Source organism: Homo sapiens, chromosome 7 (genome assembly GCF_000001405.40).
Source record: "Homo sapiens chromosome 7, GRCh38.p14 Primary Assembly".
Lineage (NCBI taxonomy): Eukaryota > Metazoa > Chordata > Mammalia > Primates > Hominidae > Homo > Homo sapiens.
The window spans coordinates 22,861,437-22,872,738 of NC_000007.14; the positions used below are offsets into that span (position 1 = coordinate 22,861,437).

General features: G+C 45.0%; 1 annotated feature.

Moving 5' to 3' along the window:
• Positions 11,193-11,302: an enhancer, noted in NCBI's record as "active region_25712". NCBI's record gives its function as "activates an Ori minimal core promoter by ATAC-STARR-seq in GM12878 lymphoblastoid cells {active_cell/tissue: GM12878}" and the evidence as "EXISTENCE:reporter gene assay evidence [ECO:0000049][PMID:35858748]".

Here is an 11,302-nt window from a genome sequence, read left to right on the forward strand (position 1 = left end):
CATGATGCGTATTATATTTCTGTTGGACAGTACTGGTCTAAAACAGTTGATTCACTATCCAGTAGAGAGAAAGGTATTGCTGTTTTACCATATGTGACCTTCAGGGAAAAGAAGAATAAAATTAGCACTTGAAAATGGAAAAACTTACAGATAAGCAGCTATTATTTGAAGGGCAGAAGGTGCAGGGGTACTCAGCACTACTTAGAAGATTTGACATAAATTCTATACTCAAGTTGCTAGTACTTCTGGAGATTTTAAATGAAAGACTTCAGAGTGTATTTAGTAAACACTCTGCTATGCCCACTCTACAAGCATCTGTGTGTTCATTAATCAAGAGCAGGCCAGGTGCAGTGGTTCTCACAGTGGCTCCCACCCAGCACTTTGGGAGGCCAAGGCGGGTAGATTGCTTGAACTCAGGAGTTTCAGACCAGCCTGGGCAACATGGCAAGACCCCATCTCTAAATAAACGTAAAAAAAAAAATTTTTTTTTTTTTTTTTTTGAGATGGAGTCTTGCTCTGTCACCCAGGCTGGAGTGCAGTGGTGGTCTCGGCTCACTGCAACCTCCACCTCCTGGGTCCAAGCAATTTTCCTGCCTCAGCCTCCCGGTAGCTGGGATTACAGACGTGTGCCACCATGTCTGGCTAATTTTTGTACTTTTAGTAGAGACAGGATTTCACCATGTTGGCCAGGCTAGTCTCAAACTCCTGATCTCAAGTGATCCACCCACCTCGGCCTCCCAAAGTGCTGGGATTACAGGTTTGAGCCACCATGCCTGACCCCAAATTTTTTTAGTTAAGAGCAAAAGGACTTGGTATGCTACATCTCATCAAAATGCAACTTCCTTAATGAAGAACCATATAAAGGATAGTTCTAGTTTCTTTTTTTTTTTTTTTTTTTTGAGACGGAGTCTCGCTCTGTCACCCAGGCTGGAGTGCAGGGGCACGATCTCGGCTCACTGCAAGCTCCGCCTCCTGGGTTCACGCCATTCTCCTGCCTCAGCCTCCCAAGTAGCTGGGACTACAGGCGCCCACCTCCACGCCCGGCTAATTTTTTCTGTTTTTAGTAGAGATGGGGTTTCAACGTGTTAGCCAGGATGGTCTCGATCTCCTGACCTCATGATCCACCCGCCTGGGCCTCCCAAAGTGCTGGGATTACAGGCGTGAGCCACCGTGCCCGGCCAGTTCTAGTTTCTTGATCCCTGATCTTAGTGTGTGTGTGTGTGTGTGTGTGTGTGTGTGTATACTAAAGTGTCTTTCAGGGTTTTGGTTTTTTGATTTTTTTTTTTTTTAATGGAAGGGGAGAGATTGTGGGAAGTGGCACCATAAATCTTACCTTGTATAAAGCACTCTTTTAAAAAATTACCTTATGTTAAGCAAAATGTTCCATAAAACTCTCCTTTTCCTGTCTTCACTGTGTGCTTTAAAAAACAGGTCTGTGTAAATTCTCTTGTAGTTTTGTTGCTACTAATAATGACATTTTGTCTTTTTGTGTTTAACAGTAATTGAATTCTTCCCTTAGTTTTCACATTTCTCTTAAGTAGTTGTTCTTAATAGTGACTGGGGATGGTGGGGAAAATGTGTCCCCCTCAGGGTGGACAAACTGGGAAAAGAACCAAAATCCCACACCCAATGAATTGAGACCAAACATCATTGACCACACTCCACCTCTCTAATTTTAACATTGACCAGAATATTCTAATTTTATTTATTTATTTATTTATTTATTTAATCTTTTTAGAGATGATAGGGTCTCACTCTGTTCCCTAGCCTGGAGTGCAGTGGCACCATCATAGCTCACTGCAGCCTTGAACTTCTGAGCAGTCAATCCTCTTGCTTCAGCCTCCTGAGTAGCTGGGACTACAGGCACGTGCCAACATGCCCAGCTGATTTTTTTAAAAATTTGTAGAGATGGGTTCTTGCTATGTTGTTCAGGCTTGTCTCAAACTCCTGGCCTAAAGCGAATTTCCCACCTGGGTCTACCAAAGTGTTAGGATTACAGGAGTGAGCATGCACCCAGCCAATACTGACTAATTTTAAAACCTGAAGAACAATAAGAACCTGAAAACATTGAGTTATTATATTGGCAAAAGCAAAACAAGCCCCTTTAAGATGTCTGGGGTGGAATCTCTGACTGGCTAATGAGTATGCCAGGAGTCAGACCCCTTTCAAACTCTGGATAGCACCACCACTGCCAAGATACATTTAATGCAGTTGATGCTTTTGGCAAAAGGCAACGACGCAATTGCTCTCAAATGTAGCAAAGCCCAAGGTAGACACACAGCAGCAACACAGGGAAATCATTGAAAACAGTGTGAGACGGTGCCAGTGTTACCCGAGCTCTGAGAAACCAGAGGTGCTGCCTACCTCTTAGGTTAAAGGCGTCCAAATGCCCTTCGTTGTCTTATTTGCATGGACATGTTTAATCCTATACTTTCTTGCATAAAAAAAAAGAGTACAGCACATGCCCTATGGTTACAAACAGTTTGGAGATGAAAACCAGCATGCCAAATTGCTGGGGCTATGGGGCCAGTGTAATGAGGATGAAGTGGATGTGGTCTGATATGGTCTGGTTCCGTGTCCCCACCCAAATTTCATCTTGAATTATAATCCGAATTGTAATCCCCATGTGTTGGAGGGGGGATCTCATGGGAAGTGATTAGATCATGGGGGCAGTTTCCCCCATGCTATTCTCATGATAGTGAGTTCTCACGAGATCTGATGGTTTTATAAGTGTCTGGCATTTCCCCTGCTGGCACTCATTCTCTTTCCTGCCGTCCTGTGAAGAGGTGCCTTCCACCATGATTGTAAGTTTCCTGAGGCTTCTCCAGCCATGCAGAACTGGGAGTCAAGTAAACCTCTTTTCTTTATAAATTACCCAGTCTTGGATATGTCTTTCTTAGCATGAGAATGGACTAAAACAAGGTCCATAGGTTGTTCAGGGAGCACTGCACACCATCCACAGCCCCTCACTCCACTTCTGAAACATTTTCCTAAAGAAGCTGAGTCACAGTGAGGGCAAAGGACCAGAGGCCAGCAGGGCAGCAGCGTAGGCTAAGAATGAATGTGAATAGAAATCAGAGGACCTTGGTGAGAATTCTGGCTCTGGCATTGACTAGCACTGTTGCCTTGGTTGCCTTTTTGTTGCTCATCTGTGAAATATGAATATTTCAAGTGCTATCTCATTGGAAGATTCTATGATAGTACTATAGAACTGTACATGGTAGTAACTGTCATAATTTGTGGCCTTATATTTATCTTTTTGAATCACCATCACCACCATCATCATCAGATGCACTCTAACTTCACTTGGAGGTATTTATTTATGCCCCCACTTCATTACAAAAATGTTTAAGACATGTTTAAGACAAAGAGAAAAGATTGAGCTTCCAATCTAGTTCCATTTCTAGATGTTTCCTCTTCCTTTCCTGGTTTAGCAGAGGAAAAACTGGCCTCCTTGTTTCCCCATTCCCCCCCCACCCCCCCCCCTTTCAACCACATGAAGAGGCTGTATTTGATTACACTTCAGAAGCAGCCTCCGAACCTACTGTGTAGGCATCAAATAGGACAGAAGTGAGCTGTGGCAATGACCATGTCCTCACATGACAACATCTCCCCTGGGGGCTCTAGTGCCTCCTCCCAGGGGACCCACTCCCAGCTTCTGACTGCCTGATTGGTTTTTCAGCCAGCTGAGCTTCTAGATTCTCCCTGAGATCCACCTCTGGCCCTGTAAAGGCCTCCTGGTTGCCTCTGTCCTGATCCCCGCACTTAGCTCTGGACTGAAGAATTATCTGGAGATAATGTGCTTTGTCCTCCAGTGTCTGCCTTTGCAGAGCACCAGCCAGGCGTTTTGTTCCAGGCTGCTCCAGCCACCCTGCTGTGGCTTCCACATGGATGTCCTGATCAGGTCCCCCATCCACCATCCTCCTGGGCTGTCCTGACCACTCTCGCTGGCCTCTATGTCTCTCTGGGCTTGGCCTGTCAAGGACCTCGATTCACTCTGGACTCTGACCCAGAGTTCGCCTGTAAAATCCCCACACTTGGCTCTTAGCAAGCAGTGCTTACAAAGTTAGGAAATATTTGTAAAATGCTGCCATGGTATAATGTGAAGCGCTCAAACAAGTCAGGGCTAATGATGCACTGAGAATTATTTCTAAATTGAGGGCATAAAGAGTTACAGTTCTTCGATTTTAAAAAGCAAAGTGACTTTTAATGCATCAAATCTTACTGTAGCCAGAGTACTGTAACTTAGTTTCCATCAGAATGGAAATAAGTAGTTACTGAGCAAGCAGCTGGATGAGCCCTATGCTTGATGATACATATTGAATTCCAAGGTAGGCCACAGGCCACTCCTCCCGGGGACAGGATCCATCATCACAGCCACCAGGCCCAATAGTGTGAGCCATGCTAAGAAATGAAATGATATATCATTTAGGGCACTGGTGCTTTTCTTTTTCTTTTTCTTTTTTTTTTTTTTTTGAGGAGTTTTGCTCTTGTCCCCCAGGCTGGAGTGCAATGGTGTGATCTTGGCTCACTGCAACCTCTGCATCCCAGGTTCAAGCCATTCTCCTGCCTCAGCCTCCCAAGTAGCTACAATTACAGGTGCCACCACCACGCGTGGCTAATCTTTTCTTTTTTTTTTTTTTTTGAGACGGAGTCTCACTCTGTCAGAGTGCAGTGGCACGATCTCGGCTCACTGCAACCTCTGCCTCCCACTTTCAAGCAATTCTCTGCGTCAGCCTCCCAAGTAGCTAGGATTACAGGCGCCTGCCACCACGCCCGGCTAATTTTTGTATTTTTAGTAGAGATGGGGTTTCACCATGTTGGCCAGGCTTGTCTCAAACTCCTGACCTCGGGTGATCCGCCCGCCTCGGCCTCCCAAAGTGCTGGGATTACAGATGTGAGCCACTGCGCCCAGTGGCACTGGTGCTTTTCATGTCTGCAGTTTCAACCCCTTACCCCCAACCCCAAGGTCATGTGTAATCCTGGTATGAATAAATGTAAATGGTGCTTGCTGGCCTTAGGTGTGTGAGAGTCAGAAGCATCCATTTCACCACTCAGGCCTAAGGTTCTCTATGTCTCACTACCCACCCTGCACCCCAGACCTCACACAGCAACACTCATGAGAGCCACCAAAATTGTAACGAAAATATAATGATGACAATGAGGACAAGTCTTTCCTATAACTGAGAAAGTTCTGTGCTAAACATGTTACCTATGGAAATTATTTCAGTGCATTCTCTGGATTTCACTGAGAAGTAGCTACCATTATTATTCTTATCTCCATCTTATGGAACAGGAAATGGTGACATGGAGCTTCAGTAACTGGCCAACATCATCAGACAGCATGGCCCCGGGTCCTGAGCTTTGTCCCTCATGAGTGTCGAGAGTGTTCTGTGTTTCTGCTGGGCACGGTGGCACATGCCTGTAGTCCCAGTCGCTCAGGAGGCTGAGGTGGGAGGATTGCTTGAACCCAGGAGTTTGAGCAGAGCCTGAGCAACATAGCAAGAAGCCATCTAAAAAAAAAAAAAAAAAAAAAAAAAAATCCAAATATCTTGCAGAGTAAAAACATAAAACAAAAAAATTAAAAGATTTCTATCACTCTGGAATCCTCATTCGGGATACAGCAAAAAAAAAAAGATTACTTATTGCAATAGAGAAAACACCAAGTGTCTCTCATACTGAATGTTTTTCCAGATTGCAGGCACTGCAGTGAGCTTTCGTGTTTTCCAAATGCGATCATTTCCTTTGTGTCAGTAAGAGCCAAATTATCCTAGTAAACAGGAGTTGCTAGTGGACTTTTTTTTTCTTTTTGAGCTAAATACTTTAGTGTAATATAATGTGAACTGCATAACTCTTAAATGGCTAATCTGTTCTTCAGTTTCGTGCAATTAAAGACTAGAAGTGCAAGTCAAATGCCCTAATAAAAGATAATCTACCCATCAGGTACCCAACTTACAGTATTTTAGAGGCTAGGTAATCTCTAGATGAAAGAATAAGTTTCTAAATCATTTGGAATTAGGAACACAGTTTTTTCTCATACATGCATATTGCCTCAAAAGAAGGAGACTCCCAGGCTAGCTCATGGTTTTCTAACCTCATTAATTGAGCTTACAACATTCTTATTTCCTCTCTCCCAGTATTTCAAAGCTTCTGTAGACCAAGGGGTTCTGGGTCACGACAGCAGAAGTCAGGAACAGCTCCCCCAACCCCATGGTCCCACCCCACTGTGGCCTCAGAGATGAGAAGGTGAAGCTCTGAGTCCCAGGAGGGCAGGGACCTTGCTTCAACTCAGTGCCTGGGGTAGAGAATGTGGTGCACTGAAGCGGTATGTGGGAAGGGCTGGTGAATGAGGGGGTTTTTGATCTACAACTTCCACCACTCACTGCCACAATTTCCACTCTCCCCATCCTGTTTCTAGCCTAGGGGTGAGGAATCCCCTGGCTCTGAGCTGTGGCCTCAGAGAGGGGCTTTGCAGGTGGTGACTTTGAATTGAGGAGGAAGGAAAAAGGCTCAAAGAAATGATGTTTTCTTGGTAGAAACCTGATTGTGGGGATTCCATGTCAAAGAGCACGGCCCAGTCTCTTCACAGGTTGGGAATCTGCAGGTCTAATTACTAGGGCCAGTGTGCTATTAAGTGGTTTCTGTCACCATCACCATTGATCCGCAACATGTCACTTTTGGAGTTGTCGGGCATCAAACGACCAACATTTTAAACATACTTGTTTAAATAAACACACTTGCAAAACCAGATATGTTCTTGCTGCCAAGTATGAACGACACATGGTTGATGGCAGAGTTCAGACAACAATTATTTGGAGCAGACCAGGAGCAAAGACAGGTACTTGGGGTAGGAGGTACAAGCTTTAAGGCAAAGTAGAGGTAGGAGGTACAGGCTTTAAAATCCAGACAAGCTTTAAGTCAGTGCCTGTCCATCTCCCCTCAACCCATCCCCACTCTCATCTGCTTCTTTGTTGAAGAATTCCTGTGTACATTGATGGCCTCCTAACCCACGTACCTTGTAGACTCTCAAGGCTAGGCATACTGTTCTTGGGGAAGAATTGCGCTGCTCTCCCCCAGGCAGCTAAGGAAAGACTTGCCATTCTCCCCCACCCCCAAGCTGTCTCTTTCCTCTCTCCTTATCCCAGTTCTGCAGAAAAGGGAATCAGGTCAATGTAGTTCTTTAATGTGGACATCATCTGTAGCATTTACATGCTTGACACCCAGGAAATAACTATTTTCACTTCCCCACATCTCCCAGTGTTCAACTTTGCACCACTGTCTCTGCCTTGCCTGGAACAGTCTGCCCTCTCCGTCACCTGCCTAGCTTGCTCTACAGGGATTTCTTAATTGTGCCTCTTTTTAGGAAGGCTTCCCTAACCCACAAGACCACATTGGTATCCCTCCCATATGTCCCCATTGCTCTGCTCTTCCCTATCAAAGCTCCTATCACTCTGTATTGTTGAGTATTGTTAACTACTTACTTATTGACCAGACTGTAAGCTCCATAGAGTTAACACCTTGTGTGATCAAATAACTCTTGTATCCCCACTGTCTAAGACAGTTCTGGTCACATAACAGGTTCTAGATGAATGACTGATGAAGACACAACAGCACGGTGGTGAGGCCATTGAATGCTTCTAAGACTGCACTTGGCAACATCACAAGCTGCAGAATCCCGTGCCACATATGACCTGCTGTTCACCGGTTCTTGCCAGGATCACACCTGAGAAGAGGAAGATAATGGAGATGGAAGACTTGGGATGCTCAGGGTCCTGCTAGCCTTCAAACTGCAGGACTCTGAGCATCCCAAGTCTTACCATGAGTTGCTAAAAGAGAACCAGACCCATGTTTATCCCTTTGAAAGAAACCTGAACCAAGCCATTCCTCTGGACTGTTCTTCCATCCACTGGACCAATAACTCATAGTTTGAAGGATTTTTACTTAATGGAAGTGAGAAAACAGCCAGATCAAAAGAATTTCCAGGAGCCAAGACAGAAAACATGCAGAGCATTAGACAGCCTAAATGGAGCTGGCTAGATATGACTCCAGTTGTGACCAAGCCATAGTGCCCCCTAAGCTGGGTGAAGAGAACGGTGCCCATCAGGCCAGAGAGAGCTGAAAGGGCCGTGAGGATGCTAAGCAGGGAGTCTCCAACCCCCTGGGTACAGGCATAGCCAGTGATGATGCCGCCAGACCCCAGAACTGTCATGTAGAGGAAGACCAAGCACAAGCCAGCTAAGAAGACCATCTGCCTGCAGTAGGCTTCCCATCCCTCATGGCACATGCAGAGCAGCCTTTGCATGTTTTAAAGGTGAAAAGGAGGCCGGGCGCAGTGGCTCATGCCTATAATCCCAGCACTTTGGGAGGCCGAGGCAGACGGATCACGAGGTCAGGAGATCGAGGCCATCCTGGCTAACACGGTGAAACCCCGTCTCTACTAAAAATACAAAACATCAGCCGGGCATGGTGGTGGGCGCCTGTATTCCCAGCTACTCGAGAGGCTGAGGCGGGACAATGGCGTGAATCCGGGAGGCGGAGCTTGCAGTGAGTCGAGATCGCGCCACTGCACTCCAGCCTGGGTGACAGAGCGAGACTCTGTCTCAAAAAAAAAAAAAAAAAAAAAAGGTGAAAAGGAAAACCTGTGTTTGTGGTCTGTTCTTCAAGGTTAAACTTGTGGTCCTTTGGCTTTTCCAAAGGCCTAGGCTTGTAGACGAATCCATCATTAATTTCCCAACAGTCCATTTCACCCAAAACAAAATCCAAACAAGCTTTAAGTCAGTGCCTGTTCATCTCCCCTCAACCATCCCCAGTCTCATCTGCTTCTTTGTTGGACAACTCCTGTGTACACTGATGGCCTCCTACCCAAAGCACCTGTGTCTCTTTGCCTGAAGATCCCTCTCCAGCCATAGGAACATGAGGGGTGGGCTGTAAGTTGCCCTGAGAACAGCTCTCAACCAAGGACAGACAAGAGTTGCTGGATAAACATCCTAGTTTCCTTGGGCCTTGGTGGGACAGTTCTGAAGTATGTCCTACACAGTCTCTCATAAGGTCCCCAGAAGGACTGACCCCAGTGGCCATCAGCGGTAACCTATATATTAACATAAGTTTTATTGGCTTTTCTCCTTCTCTGTCTCACTTCCCATTCTCTCACCATGCTTCCTGGGATCATCTTCCAAATATTAATAGATTACTTTTCACCCCCAAATCTTTGTCTCCAGGATTACTTTTGAGAGAACCCAAACTAAAACATAGTCAAGCCAGGAAGATGACACTGAAAGGAGGAGGAAGAGGAGGACACATTTTGTAGAAGATAAAATGCCACATGCTTGGAACTCAGTCATGAGCCCCAGGAAACAGTGATAGATACTTCCTTTGGTTATTCTGAAGAAACAGATACTTATGTGAAAAAAAGCTAAACACCTTTCAGTCTTCCAGGATAGAATAGACAATGATTATAAGCAGATTAAAAATATATAACCGCTGGGCACAGTGGCTCACGCCAGTAATCCCAACACTTTGGGAGGCCGAGGTGGGTGGATCACAAGGTCAGGAGTTCGAGACCAGCCTGACCAACATGGTGAAACCCTGTCTCTACTAAAAATACAAAAATTAGCCCGGCGTGGTGGCATGTGCCTGTAATCCCAGCTACTCGGGAGGCTGAGGCAGGAGAATCGCTTGAACCCAGGAGGCGGAGGTTGCAGTGAGCCGAGATCATGCCACTGCACTCCAGCCTGGGTGACAGAGTGAGACTCTGTGTCAAAATAAATAAATAAAATAAAATATATACACACACCATTGTGAGGGGTATTTAGTGCAAATTAAGACAAATCCTGCAAAGGACTAGAGGAACCAAATAGGACTGTGGAGGGAGGACAAAGGGGCAGGTGGGCCAGATCCATTGTAGACCAAGAAGTGTGGGAAGGATTAGGCTCTTAATTGCAGAAATGAATGTATTGCCAGAACAGTTTTTAAAAAGGTCACAATGACAACAATGAACAAAATAGCTAATGTTGACTTAAGTTTTACTATATGCCAGGGAGTAAAATAGGGCTTTACATAAACTATCTTATTTAATTGTCACAACATCCCTATGATATCACTTCTTTTGTTGTCCTTAATTTACAGATAGTGAGACAGAATGTGAATAAACTAACCTTGCATGGTCACACAGGTAATAGCCACAGAGGGGAAGGATATAGTTTACTCTATCTATCCATCTATCTGCTTGCATATCTATCTATTCATCCCTCATCTAAATATGTATCTCTACTTATCTATCTCTCCAAATACATATATTTTATTTATGCAGTGAGATCTGGTGGACTTTAATTGCAAAATAACTTGAGAGAAAAGAGAATTAATTATAAGAAGTACAGAAAAAGAAACAGAGCAGAAGCAATTCCTGGACTGTGCTGTACCAGGCAGATGGGCAATATAGTCAGTATGCAGTGTTGGCTCTTTCTTTGGGAGAATGAGGTCATATCTACTGGCAAGGCCCCCTTCCCTTTATTCCCACTATACTGCTTGGGAATTTCTGATTTAAAAAAAATACTGTTGATAACAGAAATGACCAATTCATCATATTGTCTTGACCAAAGAGCAGCTCATACTGTGACACACTTGCCTCTCTAGTATCTCTGGGGAGGATGTTCGTAAGTGAGATTGGAGGAGTAATCGCCCCCCAGGACCGTGGGATAGGTTGTGCACGTTGTATACTGCACAGTCCCATGGGGGTGTTAGTCTCTCTGAATGGAGTCCCCAGAGTTATGCAGTGCACAACCTGTGTATAAGGCAGCCCTGCCTGCCCCCACCAATAAGATCAGCCATATGAACTGCATGACCAATGGCACAGCTGGAGCCCTCTCATTTGTCACTGTTTCTAGGCACATTTGCAGATAAAATGTTGAGATTGTGATCAGATTATGATCAGAACTTTCAAGAGTTCTGGAAAGAAGAGTTCTGGAAAGAAACACTGACATAAAGGAGAAGAAAAGAACAGGAACTCCCTCTGAGTTTGCATAACTTTCAATGTTCACAGCCTCCTGTTGCCTTTCTAGGAGGTGCCCTACTGTGTATTGCTGGGGTCGTATAGCCAATTGGCGAACTAGCTGATAAACCCTGGACAGAAATAGAAACTACAAGAAGTGAAACAAAGTTCCATCCAAGAATGAAACAACAACTGATCACGTGAGATGCCCATGTCATCACTTGACCCACAGACAGGGGAGCAAATATATTGATGATCTGGTCCTCCTGCCGGACTGTTGGTATTCATCCCTGTAAGTGAGAGGAAGGAAACATT